This window comes from Homo sapiens, chromosome 13, assembly GCF_000001405.40.
Source record: "Homo sapiens chromosome 13, GRCh38.p14 Primary Assembly".
NCBI lineage: Eukaryota > Metazoa > Chordata > Mammalia > Primates > Hominidae > Homo > Homo sapiens.
In genome coordinates, this window is record NC_000013.11 from 24,783,427 (window position 1) to 24,805,436 (window position 22,010).

The following is a 22,010-nucleotide window of genomic DNA, read 5'->3' on the forward strand; positions in this document are numbered from 1 at the left end:
TCATTGAGATTTTGTTAGGGATTGCATTGAATTGTAGATCACTTTGTGCAGTATTGACATATTAATGATATTAAGTGTTCCAATCTATGCACATGGGATGTCTTCTCATTTATTTGTGTCTTAATTTCTTTCAGCAATTTCATATACAAGTCTTTCACCTCCTTTGTTTATTCTTAAGTATTTTCTTTCTTTTGATGCTATTGTAAAAGGGATTATTTCCTTAATTTTCTTTTGGGATTATTCATTGTTACTGTGTAGAAACACACCTTATTTTTATATTGATTTTTGTGTCCTACTTTTTTGCTGAATGCATTTATTAGCTTTAGTATTATTTTATGGCATCTTTAGGGTTTTCTGCATGTATGATCATGTCATCTGCAAATAAAATATTTTACTTCCTACAAAAAGATGATTTTACTTCTTCCTTTCCAATTCGAAAACCTTATTTCTTGTCTAATTGCTTTGGCTAGAACTTTCATTACTGTGTTGCACAGAAGTAGCAAAAGCAGGTACGTCTTGTGCCTAATGTTATAAGAAAAGCTTTCAGTCTTCACCATTGAATATCATGTTCACTATGGGTTTTTCCATATAGGGTCTTTATTATAGTGAGGTAGTCATCTTCTAGTTTGAGTGGTTTTATCATGAAATTGTGTTGAATTATGTCAGGTCCTTTTTCTGCATCAATTGAGAAACCACTTGGGCTTTTTGCTTTTTTCTTTTAATGTGGTATGTTACATCAATCACATGTTAATGTTTGTATGTTGAACTATCCTTGCTTTCCAGGAATAAATCCCACTTGGTCATGGTGTATAATTCTCTTACTATGCTGTTGAATTTGGTTTGCTAGTTTGTCTGAGGACTTTCTATCAATAGTTATAAATGATACTGCTCTACAGTTTTCTTTATGTGGTTTTGGGTAGTTTTGGCCTCATAGAGTGAGTTAGGGAACGTTTCTGCCCTTCAAGTATTTTGGAAGAGTTTGAGGAGGATTGGTGTTGATTATTACATGTTTGGTTCAATTTACCAGTAAAGCTGTCTGGTCTAAGGCTAAACTTTGTTGGGAGGTTTTTTGATTACTCATTCTATCTCCTTAGTCATGTCTGTACAGATTTTTTAATACTTTTATGAGTCAGTTGTGATAGGTTATGTGTTCCTGGAAATTTGTCTGTTTCACCTAGTTATATAATTTGTGTACAGTTGTTCATAATAGCCTTTTAATCCTTTTTATTTGTGTAAAATTGATAGTAATGTACCCAGTTTATTTCTGATTATAGTAATTTGATTCTTTTTCCTTTTTTTTGATGGATTCTCGCTCTGTCACCCAGGCTGGAGTGCAGTGGCGCGACCTCGGCTCACCAGAACCTCTGTATCCCGGGTTCAAGTGATTCTCCTGCCTCAGCCTCCTGAGTAGCTGGGACTACAGGCACCTGCCACCCGCCCAGCTAATTTTTTTTGTATTTTTAGTAGAGATGGGGTTTCACTGTGTTAGCCAGGATGGTCTCGATCTCCTGACCTTGTGATCCATCTGCCTCGGCCTCCCAAAGTGCTGGGATTACAGGTGTGAGCCATCACGCCTGGCCTGATTCTCTTTTCTTAGTGTGACTATAGGTTTAATTCTAATCTTGAAGTCAAACTTTTGCTTTCATTTTTCTTTGTTGTGTATTTATCTCTTCTCTTCTCCTTTATTTCCTTCCTTCTGCTTTGAGTTTAGTTTGGTCTTTTTCTAGTTACTTATGGTATATCGTTAGGTTGTTCATTTGCGAGCTCCTTTTTAAATGTGAGTATTTACAGCTATAAATTTCCCTCAGCATTGCTTTCATTGCATCCCATAAATTTTGTGTTCTTGCTTCATTTGCCCCAGATAATTTCCTAATTTCCCTTGTGATTTATTCTTTGACCCATTGGGATTTAGGAGCATATTGTTTTATTTTTACATGTTTATGAATCTTCCGGGGTTTTTTTCCTGTTATTTCTAGGTCATTCCATTGTAGTCAGAAAAGATACCTTGTAGGATTTCAATCTTTAAGTTTATTAAGACTTACTAATAAATGTTAATGAACATTAAACATTAGTCAGCATGGTCTTAACATATGTTCTGTCTCAAAATGTTACATGCACACTTGAGAAAAATGTTTATCCTCATGTTGTTGGGTATAGTGTTCTAAATATGTCTGTTGGGTCCAATCAGTCTATAGTGTTGTCCAAGTAATTTATTGCTTTATTGATTCTACACTGGTTGTTTTATCCATTATTGGAAGGGAGATATTGAAGTCTCTAATGATTATTGTAGACATGTCTATTTTTCCCTTTAATTCTGCAAATGTTTGCTTTATATGTTTTGGGGTTCTAATATTGGTGCATATATGCTTATAATTGTTACATTAAAGTCTATTTTGCCTAAAATTTGTGGAGCCACCCCAGCTTTTTAAATTATCGGCATGTATTATCTTTTTCCATCCTTTCATTTTCAACCTCTATATGTCTTTAGACCTAAAGTGAAATTTTTGTGGCAGCATATAGTTGGGTCATATTTTTTATCCATTCTTCAGATTTGTGCCTTTGGATTAGAGAGTTTAATTTATTTACACTTAAAATACTGATAAGGAAGTATTTTTGCCATTTGGTTTGTTTTCTGTATGTTTTATGGCTTATTTGTTGTTGCTTATTTCCTCCATTACTGCCTTTCTTTGTGTTTACTTGATTTTTTTCTTTTGTAGTCACAAATTTTGATTCCTTTCTCATTTCTTTTTGTGCATAGTCTGTAAATAGTTTTTATGGTTACCCATAAGGATTACATATAACATCCTGAAGTTATAACAATCTGTTTTGAGTAGTAGACAGCTTAACTTTAGTTGCATATAAAACCTCTACTGCTTTACAAATCTGCCCCCCTTTATTTTTTCGATGTCACAAATTACATTCCTCTATATTGTATACCTGTTAAGATAGATTGATATTTTACGTATTTGTCCTTTAAATTCTGTAGAAAATAAAAAGTAGAATTATAAATTAAAATTACACTAATATTGGTTTTTATGTTTGCCCATGTATTTACCTTTACCAGAGATATTTTTATCATTGTATGGCTTTGAGTTACTGCATAGCCTTCTTTCACATTAACGTGAAGCACTTTCATTAGCATTTCTTATAGGGAAAGTCTACTGGTAATGAACTCCCTCAGCTTTTGTTTATCTGGGGATATTTTAATTTCTCCTTCACTTTTGAAGAATACTTTGACAGCTTTTTTTCTTTTGGTGCTGTAAATATACATTGTCTTCGGGCCTCCAAGGTTTCTGCTGAGAAATTTGCAGATAATATTATTGAGGATCCCTTGTACTTGACAAATTGCATTTTTCTTGCAGCTTTCAGGATTCTCTGTGTCCTTCAGCAGTTGGAGTTCCTTGAGCTCTTAGATTTATAGATTCATGTCTCATCAAATTTTGGAAGGTTTTTTGCCATTATTTCTTCAAATAATTTCTGTCTCTTTGTCTCTCTCTTCTCCTGTGATTCCTATAATGCATACATTAGTCTGCTTGATAGTGACTCACAAGTACCTTAGACTCTGTTTACTTCTCTTCATTGTTGTTTTTATTTTTTTCAGGCTTCATTATTTTAATTGTCCTATATTCAAGTTGGCTCGTTCTTTCCTTCTGCCTGTCCAAATCTGCAGTAGAACCTTTGGTGGATTTTTTAAAATTACAATTACTGTATTTTTCAATACAATCTATGGAATTTCTGTTTGGTTATTTTATATAATTTCTCTATGTTGATATTATCATTTTGTCCCCTAGATCATTTTTCTGATTATTCTCTAGTTCTTTGTCCATATTTTTCTTGAGCTGTTTAAGCATATTTAAGACAGTTGTTTTAAGCCTATTGAGTCCAACGCCTGTGCTTCTTTGAGAACTGTTTTTACCATTCTGTTTTCTTCCTTTGAATGGGTCATGTTTTTCTGTTCCTTGGTGTGCCTTGTGGTATTTTTGTTGAAATTGGGCATTTGAGAAAATAGCTGCCTTCCCTTGTCTTTGCAGACTGGCTCTTGATGTAACAGTCCTTCACTGAGTGGTTGTGTGTGCCCTGAGCCTTGAGATCAGCCTGAGGTCAGGCTTAAGATCTTCTCAGATGTTTTCTGAGCATGCATCTTGCCTGGGCCTCAGTGTGGCTTTTTCAATTCCCCTGTATATATAACTGCTTTTATATGCCTTAATGTCCTAAAGAGTCTGAGCTCAGATTCTCCTCCAGGCCTTAGATGGTCTATTGTATGTCTCTACTTATAATCTCCTGCCTTCCACAAAATTTGCTTTTCTCTAATTATGTATACATAGCTTTTAACTATAATACATTTCAGTTCAATTTAATGCCTCATTTACCATGTTATATGTTAATTTTATCAACAAGTGAAAGTACCCTTTCAGATACAGTTCAGTTACTGTTTGCCTCATTTAACCATATTATGTAAAATTCATCAACTACTGAACTTACTCTTCAAGATACTATAGATCGACTTTTTCTATAAATATTTATGAAATACTGCAAAATAACTTTGGAATCTTAAATGAAGGAAAAAGAACCTGTGTGAAGAATTTGCAAGAACTACTGATGATTATCTATCAAATTTAATAAAGGCTAAAAGCTACATTGAAGAGAAAAAAAATAATTTGAATGCAGCTATGAACATAGCAAGAGCATTACAATTATCGCCTTCTCTAAGAACATACTGTGACCTGAATCAGGTAATTTAATAGTTCACAATGTGAGTTATTTCTGTGGTAGCTTATTTTACATGCTTTGGAATATATTTAAGACAAGAATTTGTTTTTCAGATTATCCTAACCTATATTATTATTTAGAATTCTAAATTGATGACAATATAGGTTAGGATAGTCTAAGTTATAATAAAATAATGTATGAAATCTAAGACAAACATTGTAAAATTTATATGACCTTTTGTTTTTTTTGACCAGTTAGGGAAATGGTGCAATTAAGTCTTTGTAACACTTGATCTGAGAGCAAGTAAGGTGACATTGAGGTGAAAGTTTAGGTTTCTAGGACACCCGATTAAAAAAATGAGGACAAATAAGGGTAGCAAACTGAATAGGACTCTATTTTGTTCACATAAACAATTTAGGTGTGGCTGTCAACTCTTAACGTTAAAATTTAATTCAAAATCCTAGTCAAGTTTTTCTCTTCCAATTCCATTCCAAATTGTGCAAGTCAAGAGACAGCTTCAGCCATCTCCTATCATCTAATCATGTGCCTGAGGGGTAGAATTGGGCAAAAAAACAAAAGTTTCTTATACTTTGACAGGACAAGATTAATCACAGATCTTTGCTGACTTCTGCCTCACTCCCTAAGGGTATAGGTTTTGCTTTAGTCATCTTTGAATCTTCAGGATCTCACTTCCCGTGGATAATCAGGTGTATAGAAGAGAAGCCATTAGTTTACCTGCCTCCAAAGTCTCTAACGTTAAATGAAAGGACAATTTGCCATGACCCTACTTGGCTAGGTGTCCCAGGCTTTAGTTCTAAAACAATAATAGTTGTTTCCTGTGTATTACACGTGCAACACTAGGTGATGAAAAAAATGATAAAATTTGGTCTTTATCCTAGTTAATCTAGCTAAGAAAATAGGGCAGAAAGGGAGAAAACTCTTGAAGATAGCAGCACAGTTGCAAAATGAATCTGATCGAGTTTTCTCTGATCATGTAGCTCTATCCTATTTCTTAGTGTCTATTGTTACCTTTTATACATATCTCCAAAAGTCATAAACACTTATTTGTATCCCTTTGAGTGCCCCAAATTGAGCCTGAATGCAATAATTAATGAAATACCTAAAAGATACAGTTTTCTTTCTAAAATCTTACTGTTCAGCAATATTTGTGACAAGATTCACACATGAATGATTTTTTTTTTAAATTCTAGATTATCCGGACTTTGCAGTTAACTTCAGATAGTGAATTAGCACAAGTTAGTTCTCCACAACTAAGGAACCCTCCCAGGTAAGTAAGTCATAGTTCAGGAGACCATAACAAGTATAAAGATGTGCTGGAACTTAAATGTATTAAAATAGCAAGTAATAATAAATTGAAATTTTGGGTCACAAATGTTTACTAAGTTAGTAACCAAATTAAGATAAGTGTAATTTGTGCTAACTTAGAAAGTTATTTAAATGTTTCCTTTTCAATTCATTAATGTCAGCAATTGATTTTTGTCTAGAGAACATGATACATTTGTATTAGAACATTTATGTATATGTTAATGTTTTATTATAGGTTGAGTGTGAATTGCAGTGAGATCATCTGTATGTTCAACAATATGGGAAAGATTGAATTTAGGGACTCAACAAAGTAAGTATTTATAAGCATGGTAACATGCCATTAGTGTCTGACAGTACTTACATTATCTAAGAGACAGAAGAATTGATGTTTAGTGTAATTCAAAAGCTGAAAAATAAAGGGCAAAATAGTTTCTATAGTTAAATTCTACATATAATGTTTTTTAAAAGGCCTAGAAGGGATCAGTATTCAGCAATATACATGTCGAAGTTATCTTTGAGATTGATTCAGTCAGCAAGCATTGAACACTGCTAGGCACTAACACCCTAGATATTGAGATAAATGTCCGAGAAATTACAATAAGTAGAGGAAGAAGGACATGCAAACAATAAAATGCATAATTGCTAGGGTAATGTATGCAGAATTTACTTGAGGTGCCAAGCAAGGGAATGATCAGTTCTTACTGGGGTAACAGGACTTGGAAAGATATTTTCTTTTCCCTTATCTATTAAAATTAAGTAGCAAGTAGAAAGGAGGAGAAAAAGGAAGTATGCATCTTATAGGCAGTGAATATATGGGCAGTGAAATAGCATGCTAGGTTCAGGGAATGGTGTATATAATTCCATTCTCTATGTCCCCAAGGATACATAGATGCTAAGTCTTAAAGACTTTGTATGCTGTCTGATGATGTTTGAACCTTATGATCCATGCTGTCCAGTATAGTAGCCACTAATCACATGTAGCTATTTAAATTTAAACATAAATTAATTAAAACTAAATAGAATTAAAATCCAGTTCCTCAGTTCCATTAGCCCACATTTCAAGTTCTCAGTAGCCACATGTCGTTAGTGACTACCTGTCTTATTCTATTTGTGCTGCTATAACAAAGTTTAAAAAGAACAGATGTTGTTTATTCTTCTGTAACTCATAAAGAACAGGTGTTTATTTGCTTGCAGTTCTGGCGGCTGAGAAGCCCAAGATCATAATGCTGGCAGATTTGGTTTCTGGTGAGGGCCCTGATCTCTGCTTTAAGATAGCACTTTGAATGCTGTGTCCTCACATGGCAGAAAGCATGGAAGAGCATAAAAGGGACAAATAACTATCTTCACAAGGTGGAAGAGCAGAAGAGCAAAAAAGGGCATAAGCTAGTTCCCTCCAGACTTGTTGTAAGGCACAAATCCATTCATGAGGGCAGAGCCCTCATTGCTTGATCATTAATTTCCCCAAAGGCCCCACCTCTTAATGTCACCACAATGGGAATTAAGTTTCAACATGAATTTTGAAACATTTAGACCAAAGCACTGCTATATTAGACAATGTGGCATATTTCTATTATCACCAAAAGTTCTGTTGTACAGTATAGTTCTAGGGAGTAGAAAGCCACTAAAAGGTTTTAAGCATGAAAGTAAAAATTATTAGATTACATTTTTTAGGGATAATTTTGATGGCCATTTGGGGGATTATTTGGCGTAAGAGGATGACAGTGAAGGCTGAAGGATCACTTAGGCCATCATATCAGTAGACTCAGCAACTCATGAGAACTAAAACTTAACTAATAGCACTGGATAGGGACTGAGAATAGATATGACAAATGCAAAATAGGGAAAATTAATAAAACTCAGTAATGCTTGAACGTGAGGCATGAGGAAAAGGGAAGCATCATCAATGGTTTGTTACGCTTTGGTGACTAAGTCGATGGATTGTGGTATTCATCAAGATTAGGAATACAGGAAGCAAAGTAAGTTGGGAGGGGGAAGATAGTATGTTGAGTACTTACTGTTTACCAGCTTTCTGGAGAGAAATGTGTACAGCTTAATTGGATATGAATGCTGAAACTTAAGAGATCTTGGTCTTGATTCTGGGTTTAGGAGTAATCAGAATATAGATGTAGAAACCACCAAAAGAGAAATAAGTTCTTTCATTGTAGGTGGATTGTCTCCAATGGAAATGGTCCCCTGAGAAAAGCAACGCATTTGTTACCTTAGGGAACAAATTAGTCTGGCTCACAGTATTACCATTTCAGAAGCACATAGGATGATGTATACTCTAAGCCAGGTAAATTCATATAAACCAAGGTCACAAAACTGATGTGTAGTCAAAATGCCAGTTTGTTAACTTAATGGATAAATATAATTGTGAACAGGGACTAGAACTGAGGAGCTAACTTGTCAGAAGTTACTTTTTTGGTAATCTTTTTTGAATAAAGGGAATAAAATTAATCAGATAGGTTAACAGAATTAGGCTAAGATAGCTGATTAGATTCCTCTCCATCAGAGGGAAGACCTTGCCAGAGGAAGTGGAATACCAGTCCTTCGGCTCAGTCATCTTTCTCCATGCTTGGGAGAGCCCTGCCCCATATTTACTGCTGTGACTTGACTTTATGCTTACATGGATAATCAACAACCTTTGCAATCAATATGTTCTTTTTGACATTTTCACAACTTGAATATGGTTACTATCCGCATTTCTAAGACACTAAAAACTATTCTGCCTCTTTAAGCATCTGTACTGATCTTCTACTTTAAATTTAACTCTGAGAGCTGCCTTTTAAATTTTTTCCTAGTTTTTAGGGAAAGTATTAGTATAACCTGCATGTACTGATTACAAATGGTAGTTAAACCATGGGTTTGCACAGTAAGAGCAGGTATTCAAACAGGTCAAGGACAATACCCTGGAAGGATACTAAAATTTAAAGCAGAGAAAGGGTAATCTGTAAAAAAAAAACTTGAGAAGGAGCAGACAGAAGTTGAAGGAGAACAGAAGTGGTGTTGTATAAGTCAAAGCAGAGGTTTATGACACCGGAGCTGATTAATAATGTTGCATGTCTCAGGTCTAATAAGAATTGTTATGAAAAGAGACATTTAGATTGCAAGGTCGTGTACATATATATGACTCTCAGTTGTTTGGACTTCAACATATATCAATTTTACTTAGTTAAATGTATGTCCTCTGTTGGAAGAGGCAGATAAACATGCATCATTGCTAAATCCAGTTGGCTTTGTTGATCGTTATTTCCACAGTGGCTTCTTAAACACTGATCTGTGAAGAAGCTAAATCCATCATGGAATAACTAAAATATAAACTTCATGAAACCCAATCTTATCTCATTGTAAAATTTCTATACTTGTAGATTTGATAGCCTAAAAACTGTCTGGATATGTGGAGAAAATAGAAAAATATGGAGTAGAATGGATAAATAACTGGCAGTGGGTCAGTGGCTATTGAATAATCATGCCCAAAAGATTCAGATTAATGTCCATGGTGGGAGTTTCTAGTGACTTATTCATGGTTGTACCATATACCTCTGTATTCATAGCTTATATCTCTGTATTTTTAAACAGATGTTATCCCCAAGAAAATGAAATTAGACAGAATGTTCAAAAGAAATATAATAACAAAAAGGAACTTTCTTGTTACGATACATACCCACCGCTAGAAAAGAAAAAGGTTGACATGTCTGTCCTAACCAGTGAAGCACCACCACCTCCTTTGCAACCTGAGACAAATGATGTACATTTAGAAGCAAAAAACTTCCAGCCACAGAAAGACGTTGCAACAGCATCCCCTAAAACCATTGCTGTGTTACCTCAGATGGGATCTAGCCCTGATGTGATAATTGAAGAAATTATTGAAGACAACGTGGAAAGTAAGTTAAAATGTAAAAGCAGAGGGGAAAGATCTTGTATCTGTAATTAGACACAGTTGGTACCTTTTTCGTCCATGCATTTAACAGAAATATAATTGCTGTTATAATCTTATTCCTCATTATGAGTTAAAACCTGTTCATTCCATGCCCCTACTCTCACATTTTCCAGAGTTAGGATAATTTTTATTTTTAATGCAGTAATATAGCTAACCTCTGAGGTATAAATTAATATCTGGTTTAATTAGGGTATTTTGAGATTTTTTAGTGTTCTCACATATAAGCCTTGTATAAAAGATATAAATAGAGAGATGTGATTTGTGGACATAGTTTTATTACTTTCTTTGAATTAAGAACATCTCTTCAATCTTTGTTGTGAGATTTAATATAAACTATCATGATTACAATGTTATCTATTTTATGACATTTAAATGTATCACAGTTGTATTTGATTAGATTTTCAATGTCAGTATTCTTTCCATTAACATGGAGTGAGATACTACACTATGTAGTTTTATACTAATAGTCTCCTTTAAGACCATTTTTCAAGATCAGCTTTTATTTTCCCCTACCCGTTGTCTATTTTATTGGTTGACTCTCCAGAATTGCATTTTAGAAAAGGACACACTTCTTTCCACTGTATTATCATTGATGTCTCAATTACTTAAGATACCTGTAATAACTTTATTCATTGATACAAGGGATGTTGCCATTCCAGTGTTTTGCCAATTTCAGTACAGCTTTTTAAAAACTAGCATGTCATTGTTAACATAGTTAGTACAAGTTGTCTTTATTTCTTATTTTGATGAAGCATGCGGCACAGATGATCTTGGGGAGACACCTAGATATCCAAAAAAGCCTCTTCAGAAAAACTCATCTGTTCCTTTTGGATCAAAAGCAGATACTGTAACAACTGTCTGAGCTTGATGTAGTGGAGTTTACTGTATGTGTAGTAAGTAGCTCTTACCTAGTGTGAGGTAGTAAGTAAAGTGAATTTCACTGATAACTAAAACATATTACTTTCTAATGTTAAAAGTTTTAATTCCGGGGCCAGACACCATGGCTCACACCTGTAATCCCAGCACTTTGTGAGGCCGAGGCACATGGATGATTTGAGCTCAGGAGTTCGAAACCAGCCTGGGCAACATGGTGAAACCCTGTCTCTACAAAAAGTACAAAAACATAAGTGAGTGTGGTGGTGCACAACTGTGGTCTCAGCTATTCAGGAGGCTGAGGTGGGAGGATCACTTGAGCCTGGGAGGCGGAGGTAGCAATGAGCTGAGATCCCACCACTGCACTCCACCCTGGGTAACAGTGAGACCTCATCTCAAATAAATGAATGAATGAGTGTTTTGACTCTGGCAGAAATATTCCCCCCAATAAAAAAAATATTTTTTGAGACAGAGTCTTACTGTGTTGCCCAGGCTGGAATGCAGTGGCGCGATCCTGGCTCACTGCAACCTCCTCAGGCTCAAATGATTCTTGTGCCTCAGCCTCCGGAGTAGCTGGGATTATAGGCACATGCCACAATCCTCAGCTAATTTTTGTATTTTTAGTAGAGATGAGGTTTCACCATGTCAGCTAGGCTGATCTCAAAACTCCTGTCCTCAAGCGATCCTCCCTCCTTGGCCTCCCAAAGTGCCGGGATTATAGGCGTGAGCCATCGTGCGCAGCCAGGAATATTTCCAAAATTTATACTTCTCTCAGATGTCACCCCAGTTGTATGTGTTTATCTTTTTACCCCACCCTAAATATGGGCATTATTCTTTATATTTTCTATTGGATAGTTAAAATGACCCATTTGTTCAGTTTCTGTCATCTATCTATACTTGACTATATTCATTTCCACTCCTCCTAGTCTTTGTTTTTTAAACAATTTTACCATGTAAACATTTACCTCATTCAGAAATTAAATATATATTAAAATATTATGTGAAACTTCCCCCCATCCTATTCCCATTCTATTCAGTGTCTCCATCTCTTCCACATTTTCTTTATGCATTTATAAATAAACACACACAAATTATTTTTCCAAACTTCTCTCTCCCTCTCTCTCTCTATGTGTGTGTGGCGGGGGTGTCTTTTTTTTTTTTTTTACACAAAACGTAGCATACCACTGTTTTGTTTTTGCATTCCTTCCTTAACATTGTACTTTGGAGATCTTTTCATATTAGTGAAGACACTTGGCTTAAGAAAATTTTCTGACTGTCTTTACCTCTACTCACCCCACCAAAAAGCACACGCATTCCCCTAAATGCTGCTCAGTACTTTGGCTTTGCCTAGACATTTTTTCACATCTGATTTATAAGACTAACCTGATTTATAAGACTTGGGAGTCAGAGTGGCTATGAGCTGTATTGGTTCTATAGGTAGAGTATAGATGGAACTGGCTTTTGTAGGTTATCCTAGAAACCTAATCATTATCAGTAGGGGTTCTGAGTTCCAAATATGTTCATAAAGAAACTGAACTTTTGTAATACAGTAGAGTTACAGCATATACGTTGACTTTAGAATCTTAACTATCACATAGACTATGATTTCATTTATTTAGCGTATTTTGCAAGTATTATGAAGTATTTGCAGTTCAGGTTACTAAAGAATTCATTGTTGAAAGTGATCCATTTGTTTTATCAATCATTTAGGGCTTGCACTACTTCCTGGGGCCGACGTGCGATATTCCCAGAGTTCACAATGCCATAAGACACTCTTTTAGAGGCTATTATGGTTGTTCAGCTTTCATGAATTATTTTCTAACTCATGGTTTATTAATGTGACTTAAACATTTTTATCCAGGTTCTGCAGAGCTAGTTTTTGTAAGCCATGTAATAGATCCTTGCCATTTCTACATTCGGAAGTATTCACAAATAAAAGACGCCAAAGTACTGGAGAAGAAGGTGAATGAATTTTGCAATAGGAGTTCACACCTTGATCCTTCAGACATTTTGGAACTAGGTAATGAAATATTAGTCCAAGTTAAAATATCAAATTTATTTAAATAATATAATAACTTGGCCAACCCACATAAGACTTGTTATAATATAGATTTTTGCTCTAAGTTCATTTGTAGTAAGCATAAAAGTTTTAGGATTATTTAACATAAATTATTTAGGCAAATTAGCTAAGGATTAAGATGGAATGTTGGCACATTTTTTAGAGTGAGATATGTACAGAAACTCCATTATGTAGTAGGGCGAATTTCTTTTAAAACTACAAGACCCATGACAGATTATATAGCCTGTCCCCTTGTCTCCATGAAGAACTGTGCCTGTAAGATGATTCTTGTGTAACTCCAGTCTCTTGCTCGCCATGTGTGAGTGTTGGGGCTAGCATTGAGCACCTGAGATTCAGGAGGCCTGTGGCACCCATTCCCAGCGCCCTACAGAGGATAATTGTAAATTCAGTCAGTCTTTTAATTGTGAGGATATGTGAATTTGCCATGCTTCGGGCTTTTGTTACGAGTATTTTTCTTATAACGTTGACTGAATTTGATTGTACCTTGTAATATGAGGAAGCTATGATTCATTTGTATTAATAGAGTATTTTTCTCATTATGTTAGTAGCAATCAATACCTATATATAACTAATACAGAAAGTGTTTATCTGTCTAGTCTTGATTGTCATTTAAAAGTATGATTAACTCTCAGCTCATCTGTGTAACTTTTCAGAATATCAGAAGAGTAGGATCATCATATACTTTGACAAAAATGAATAGTAATTCTAAAACTTAAAAAATAACATTTATGCTATGTGAGCTGGGAACATTAGGTTGTTAGTATCTAAGAGGAGGGAAGTGTAGTACTGAATTCAGTTTTTGTGGTTGCAAATAATGTGTCTAAAATGTAATACATTCCAAAAATAGCTTATTTTCAGAAAATGTTCTAAGACAGCCAGAAAGTTGTGCTTTAAGTTGTTAATGATAATTATGTTGGCAAAGTAAATACAGCTGATTAAAACACTCATTTATATTTTGAGAAATTAGTGATAAGGGAAGACATGTGAATTGTTGATTTAGCAGAGGAGAGTATCCTCTTGTTCCCTTTTCCTGCCTCTGTACTTCATCATGAAGAACAGTAAATGGCTTCAGCAGACTTTTATCCATTGAAAGAAAGAATAGTTTTATAGAATATATACAGCAGGTCTTCAAATAACATTATCTCATTATAATTTTGATGAGAAAAAAATCAATTCCTGGTTTGGGCAAATGTCTGTGTTGAGTTTGCACATTCTCCCCGTGTCTGTGTGGGTTTTTTCAGGTACTCTGGTTTCCTCGCACATCCTAAAGATGCACACGTTAGGTTAATTGGTGTGTCTACATTGTCCCAGTCTGAGTGGCAGGGAGAGAGAGAGAGAGAGAGACAAAGAGTGTGTGTGTGTGTGTGTGTGTGTGTGTGTGTGTGTGTGTTTACCCTGCAATGGAATGGTGTTCTGACCAGGATTGTTTCCTGCCTTGTGCCCTGAGCTGCCTGGATGGGCTTCAGCCACCCTCGACTCTAGAATAAGCGGGTTGGAGAATGAATAAATAAATATATATTATCATAAAATTCATAAAGTATTTGATAACTATACAAATACATGACAATAAATGATGCAGTACAAAAGCGCTCTGTGAATCCACCTTATTTATGATTGTTTTTGAACTGTGGTGCCAGGAGGTACTCCTTACAATTCTCACTTTGCAAGCTGTAATTCTTTGAGTTAACCCACTACCACTATGACTGCCGTCACTCACTGATTCACCAAAAATTGAGTAAATATCTTACTTGTTCATCTTTCTTAAATGTACATTTAGCTCACACTTGTTTCAGTATTTAATATTAGAAGTGTTTGGGGTCTTTATAAGTTTGATGATGTTTTTGTGACCAGAAATACACGTAGAAACTTAACTCTTGTTTATATCAATTAGCCTATGTGGTAAGATTGGTTTTGTTACGCCATTTTGCTTAAAGTCACAGTTTCTAAGAATGTATCAATGACATTAAGTGGGGATTTACTATATTTTAAAACTAAGAATGTTGGTACAGTAGTGTAGCAAAATAAGAGAAGGGTCACTGACAAACTGAAGATCAAACGTTTTGGTAGGACTTAAAAGGCTGCCTATAATGTGCTTTTCAACTATCCTGTTGTTATTAGCATATACAGAGGAGATTACACAGCATCTCTCTGTATATAATCAGTGATCAGAATTTACCAGATTCATTTCCAAAATATGTAGTTTAAATGGGCTCTAAGACTACCTGAGTTCTCCTGCTACTTCTTCTAAGTAGCCATGTGAGTTGGGCTAGATTAGGTTTTCTACCTAGTTTTCCTCACCTATGATAGGAACAGTACCTTCGTAGGGTTGTTGTGGGGAGTAAGTGAATTCAAACAAAACACAGAACATTTCTGAGCTCATAGTAAGCATTCACCTGTGGGCCTTTTTTTTTGTTTGTTTGATCTTCTTTTTTCCTGGTTGTTAATTTGTAATCCAACTGGTCCCTACAAAGGTCTTCCTCTACAGCTAAGTCTTTAGTTCATCTTCCCTCTTCTCTGAAAACCACTGGGTGCCAATAATTTTGGCATTTCACAGGCTACCTTTCATTGTTTTACTCTCACTCCCCTTTACAAAGAGAAGATAATTGTTTCTTCTCTCATTACAAACTTTAATATGTGTATGTCAGTGTACATGTGTACATCACAAAGACAGATGGTCTTGCTTGTAAGTACAGTGTAATTATGGTAATTAATTTGCCTGTCTCTCTTCCTTTCTTGAGCTTCTTGATGGCAAGACAGTCTCATTCATCTTTGTTCTTATTGCTCATAAGCTGGTTGTCATTAAGTGACTGCTAACTTAGTATTCTTTAGGTGTTTATCTCCCTATTTAGCTTGTTTCTGTATAACAAACTATCATAATATGCTGTATTATATCTTTCTTATAGCACTTGAACACAGTGCTATATCATCATTAAATAAACGAATTAAGACTTTTTCGTGGTAGAACTAACGTGTCTGTAAACTTATGAAGTGGCTTTTATTGATAAATGTTTATAACGATTTGTTTCCCTCATTATTTAGGTGCAAGAATATTTGTCAGCAGTATTAAAAATGGAATGTGGTGTCGAGGAACTATCACAGAATTAATTCCAATAGAGGGTAGAAATACCAGAAAACCTTGTAGTCCAACCAGATTATTTGTCCATGAAGTTGCACTAATACAAATATTCATGGTAGATTTTGGAAATTCTGAAGTCCTGATTGTCACTGGGTATGATATTTTATAATATGTATCCTTGGCCTGCTTAGAAACATTTTGGAGGGAGGTGGAGTTAAAGAATAAAGGAAATTAGAGGTAGAGAGGAGTAATTTGTCATTCTTAACTTCCAAGACATACGTTTTATTATTTTGCTCTACTGTTGTCTTGATAAGTAAAACTTTATCATTTACCAGTATTACTAGATGGAGAGCTTAGAAAAGGAACTCCAAACTTAAGTACTCTTCTTATGTCACTTTAAAGCAGGGAATAATACACAAACTAATTCTTTTAAATGTTACAGTTAGCAACAGATGATTGAGTTAAATTTTTAATCAGACTTCTGTAATTTCATTAATGTTTTTCAAAGTGTCATACTGTCTAACTCACTGTAGGTATTTTAAATGGTTTTCTCTGTCTTCTAGGAAAATAATACAAACTGATATGTTTCTGTAGTAAGGACCAGTATTAACCATAGCATGATCACTTAATGGTTATAGCTTTATGAATAAGTAGATTTATATGGGGGGAAGTGTCATTATCTCCTTTAAGTTCAAACTGCATGAGTATGTGAAAGTGCAAATGTAGCTGAGATTTCTTTCTGTGGAGGAAAACTGTCTCTGCTTATAAAAGCTAAACTAAGTCTATATAGTAAGAAAGTATTAATTTGGACTATAACTTTCTAAAAGGTGTAACTTAAGAAAAATTATACTTAGAAATGCATACCTTCTGTGGGGGAAAACAAATTTAAGTTTGAAGCATTATTTTCAATAAATATTACTTGAATTTCTCCTAGAGTTGTTGATACCCATGTGAGACCAGAACACTCTGCTAAGCAACATATTGCACTAAATGATTTATGTCTGGTTCTAAGGAAATCTGAACCATATACTGAAGGGCTGCTAAAAGACATCCAGCCATTAGCACAACCATGCTCATTGAAAGACATTGTTCCACAGAATTCAGTAAGTGAGACTTTAATTATTTTTTCCTTCAGAGGTTATTACAATTTTAGCTATGTATTGCCAGTTAGATTGCTAAGTATAGGCTCAGGGAACCAGTAATCTTGATAAATACATAGTGCATATTAAACTGTTAGTTCTAATAGAAAAGGAAATGAACTTCGGCTTCCACAATTGAAAACATTTTTAATGGGAAATGGAGTTGAATAAGCATATATTAACATAATGATTGGTTAAGTATCTGAGTAAAGCAGTAATTTTGGAGTCAACTATACAGAGAAATAAGTTTATGATGTGTGTGTTTCTCTACAGTATTTTCTTATTTCCATTGCCCTTTATTATTCTATTTAATGGCCATATTGCATTCTGCGTTTTGTATTATTTATGAAAATCTATTCTCCAGCAAGATTGTAAACTCTTAAGAGACAGAAATTGTAACAATACATGTTAAGCAGTTGTATTCTTACAAGGTCTATGAGAGCAGAGGAGTCTGTCTTTGCTCATCGTTGTATTCCCAGCATTTAGCAGATCACATGCCACATAGAAGGCATTCAACACATACTTGAAATAACAAATAAGTTAATTTAAAAAAAAGGAAACACAAAAATAGCAGCACTGGTGTTTTCTTTAAAATGATGAGTGTTTTGTTTTTAATTTTCTCTTTTTTAACTTTTCACATTTTTACACTGAGTAGATTTTACATTTATAATCATAAAAACTTCAGAAAGCTATTCTCTTTTTTTGTTTTTAAGGAATTTCTGGTTTTGATCCTGAAATTTACTTTCAATATGTTACGTAAATGTTCAAAGATCAACATAAAAAGTTTTTTGGCTGGTTTTGGTGGCCCAAGGCTGTAATTCCAGCACTTTGGGAGGCCGAGATGGGAGGACCGCTTCGGCTCAGGAGTTTGAGACCAGCCTGGGCAACATGGTGAGACCCTGTCTACCAAAAATACAAAAATTAGCCAGGTGTGGTAGTGCACCATGAAGGCTGAGGTGGAAGGATCTCTTGAGCTTGGGAGGCGGAGATTGCATGAGCTGAGATTATGCCACTGCACACCAGTCTGGGTGACAGAGTAAGACCCTGTCTCAAAAGAAAAAATTGTTTGCCCAGTGGGTGGATTTTTTTTTAAATCACTTAAGTAGCATAAATCTTATGCATTGCTAGTAATGGAAGCTAGATTAACTGATGATTGTAAATTTTTAGATTTTATTTTAGGCATACCTATACTTTCAGAATTACCTTTTGAATTTTCATCTAAGTGGAAAATTGAATACTTATTTCTTTCATTTTGAGATCTTTCTTTATAACCTTCATATTAATATTCAAAAGTGAAACTAAATTCTAAAGTAAAACCTTGAGAATATATTTATAAAGTGAAGGTATATGCACGTTGTACATTCATAAAGACTGCCCCTAAGTTTGTGGCCCTGGCTGTTTCTATTTTTCTTTCTTTTCTTTCTTCTTTTTTTTGAGATGGAGTCTTGTTCTGTCGCCCAGGCTGGAGTGCAGTGGCATGATCTCGGCTCACTGCAACCTCTGCCTCCCGGGTTCAAGCAGTCCCCTGCCTCAGCCTCCCGAGTAGCTGGGATTAAAGGCACCTGCCACCACGCCCCGCTAATTTTTGTATTTTTTGTAGAGACAGGGTTTCACCATCTTGGCCAGGCTGGTCTTGAACTCCTGACCTTGTGAGTCACCACGCCCGGCTGCCCTGGCTGTTTCCTAATGTCTGCGGTTGGTTCAGTTTGTTCGCAGTTGCGTCTGTGGTTGGTACAAACCTAAATCCAGAACATTGTAACATTAGCGATACTTACAATTAATTACTATGGAATTTTACTTTCTTGCACAGAATGAAGGCTGGGAAGAGGAAGCTAAAGTGGAATTTTTGAAAATGGTAAATAACAAGGCTGTTTCAATGAAAGTTTTTAGAGAAGAAGATGGTGTGCTTATTGTAGATCTGCAAAAACCACCACCGAATAAAATAAGCAGTGATATGCCTGTGTCTCTTAGAGATGCGCTAGTTTTTATGGAACTAGCAAAGTAAGTAACTTATTAAAACTTAAATATTCTTTGAGATTATAGCTATAAATGAGAGTAGCAGATTTTGCCTTTAAAAACCATGTCTGTAAAGTAAACCTTAACATACCTGAAGAAGTGAAAAATATTGCTCTTAGACTTTTCTGAGTACAGTTGTTGTCTGTGAAAACTGGATTCAGATAATTGGATTTAAGAAAATAGGCTGGGCAGGGCGTCTCACAACTGTAATTCTAGCACTGTGGGAGGCCGAGGAGGGAGGATTCCTTGGGGTCATGAGTTTGAGACCAGGCTGGGCAACATAGCTAGACCTCGTCTCTACAACGAAATACAAAAAGAAATTAACCAGGCGTGGTGGCATGCATCTGTAGTTCCAGCTTCTCAGGTCAGGAGCTGAGGTGGGAGGTTTGCTTGAGCCCAGGAGTTCGAGCTATGCTCTTGCCACTGTACTCCAGGTTGGGTGACAGAGTGAGACACCCTGTCTGTAAAGAAAAACGAAAATTAGAAAAATTAGAGAAATTAAGGTAGCTCAAAATATAAAGTATGTATAAATACCTAACATCTTTTGGACTCTTGATAACTATTAGCAGCTGTATGAGGATTTCAATAATTATAGTTTAACTGTTCCTAAATTTTCCTCAATTTTGTAGCCTTTGGAATGAGTTCATGATCACTACCCTATATTCAATGTATGAATCTAGAATAGATGTTTAAAGTTTCTTTGTCCATCATTTCTTTTTTGTTTGTTTGAGACAGAGTCTTCATCCCATCACCCAGGCTAGAGTGCAGTAGCACAGCCTCAGCTCATTGAAACCTCTGCCTCCCCAGGTTCTGGTGATTCTCATGTCTCAGCCTTCCCAGTAGCTGGAATTGCAGGCACACGCCACCACTCCCGGCTAATTTTTGTATTTTTAGCAGAGACAGGGTTTCACCTTGTTGGCCAGGCTGGTCTTGAACTCCTGCCCACCTTGGCCTTCCAAAGTGCTGGGATTACAGGCGTGAGCCACAGTGCCTAGGCTGTCCATCATTTCTGATGACTTAAGTAACCATAGAGGTAGTCAAAGATTCTAATTTTTACCTTGGGTGATTGGGAATGGAACCCAAGCAGGTTCCATTCTAGAAAAATACAAGTAGTCTTGGATCTGGAAGGAGCCACAGAGACCCTTCAGCTGACACAGACCACAGATATCAATGTAACACAAAAAATAGAAGCAGCTTTGAATCTAAGTACGACATGAAAGCCTAGCTCTAAAGTTTTGAGACTTGATATCTTATTTAACCTGGTTTGATAATTGAAGACAATACCAAGAAATGTTAGAAGAAAGAAATTGGAAGATGAGCGCTTTTGGTAAATAAGTCAGTACATGTACAAGTCCTTCCTTTAGATCAAGTCACTGAGAGAAAAGAGACTAAGAAAATGGCTTGGCCAGGTATGGTGGCTTACACTTGTATCCCAGCACTTTGGGAGGCCAAGGCAGTAGGGTCGCCTGAGCCCAGGAGTTCAGGGTCAACCTGGGCAATGTAGGGAGACCCTGTCTCTACAAAAATTAGCCAGGTGTGATGGCATGCCCCTGTGGTCCCAGCTACTTGGGAGGCTGAGGTGGGAGGATTGCTTGAGCCCAGAAGGGTAGAGGCTGCAGTGAGCCATGATAGCACCACTGCACTCCAGCCTGGGTGACAGGGTGAGACCCTGCTTACGCTTTTCATTATGCTTTTAATTAGGTTTAAGTCACAATCACTAAGAAGTCACTTTGAAAAAAATACTACTTTACACTATCATCCACCTATTTTGCCTAAAGAAATGACAGATGTTTCAGTAACGGTTTGTCATATAAATAGTCCTGGAGATTTCTATCTTCAGTTGGTAAGTATATAATGTGTTTTTGAAATGAAGTTTTTAAAAAAATTTTAATTAGACATGTATAACAAGAATGAGTATCTACCGTCAATTTTAGTCAGAGCAAACGTACCACTGTTAACCTTCTATACGTTTAAATTTCTTAGTAGTTGCAACTTCAAACAAGTTTATATGATTTATCACAAATTGAAAGAACAATGAAGGATAATTAATGTATAAATGTTTCTTGCTACCTTCTGAAATCTGGAGACTAGGAAAGCATATAGAGTTAGCAAATAGAAATATAATGATAAAATAAATTTTTTTCTAACCTGTACCTCTGAAAATTTACCGATTATTATTAGGTGTTTTCTGAATTTGAACACCAAAATAGACACAGATTAAAGGCATTTCGTATTGAACTTTGGATGTGTGACTGATGTGTTTAGATAGTAACAATAATAGTTCATCCTTATTGATTTCTGGGTGCTTTATATGATTTAACTCATCATAAGGCCCTTAAGACTTTAAGGGAATTAACTCATTAATCTTTGCAACAATCCTGTGAGAAAGACACTGTTGTCTCCATTTGAATGTGGAGACCCTAACCACAGAGATGAAGCATCTTGCCCAAGATCACACAGCTCTGAAAGGGTAGAACCAGGATTGACCAAGCTTCAGAACTTGTCGTCTCAAGCACTGCATCACACTGTAGTGGCTCCTCAAATGAGTTGTGGAAGCTCCTTATCTAAGTTAGGATTTGCGTTTATTTCTTTTGTTGATTTTTTACAGCGTCTTTTATGGTAAAATATACATAATATAATTTTATAGTTTTTAATAATTGTTCAGTGTACCATTCAGTGCCATTAAGGCCATTAAGTGTTGTGCATCCATTTCCAGAGCTTTTTATTTATCTCAAACAAAAGCCCTGTACCTATTAAACAATCACATACCATTTCTTCTCCCCTAGTCCCTGATAAACTTCTGTTCTACTTTCTGTCTCTATGAAATTGCCTATTCTAGGTACCTCTTAA

At 35.6% G+C, this 22,010-nt stretch overlaps 1 protein-coding gene across 16 annotated transcripts in view; it reads left to right on the plus strand.

The window, feature by feature from the left end:
• Positions 1-22,010, plus strand: part of RNF17 (ring finger protein 17) — a 140,815-nt gene that overhangs the window by 35,660 nt on the left and 83,145 nt on the right. For 15 of the 16 annotated variants that reach the window (XM_011535156.3, XM_011535152.3, XM_011535158.3 and 12 more), the window contains 9 exons: positions 4,562-4,733; positions 5,922-5,998; positions 6,272-6,346; positions 9,616-9,920; positions 12,711-12,869; positions 15,969-16,158; positions 16,940-17,108; positions 18,955-19,145; positions 20,862-21,003. In XM_011535156.3, the coding sequence (XP_011533458.1) occupies positions 4,562-4,733; positions 5,922-5,998; positions 6,272-6,346; positions 9,616-9,920; positions 12,711-12,869; positions 15,969-16,158; positions 16,940-17,108; positions 18,955-19,145; positions 20,862-21,003 (1,480 nt within the window). Of the gene's footprint in view, positions 1-4,561; positions 4,734-5,921; positions 5,999-6,271; positions 6,347-9,615; positions 9,921-10,783; positions 10,870-12,710; positions 12,870-15,968; positions 16,159-16,939; positions 17,109-18,954; positions 19,146-20,861; positions 21,004-22,010 lie in introns of those variants that run through there. The other variant, XM_011535163.2, reaches the window with a different exon arrangement.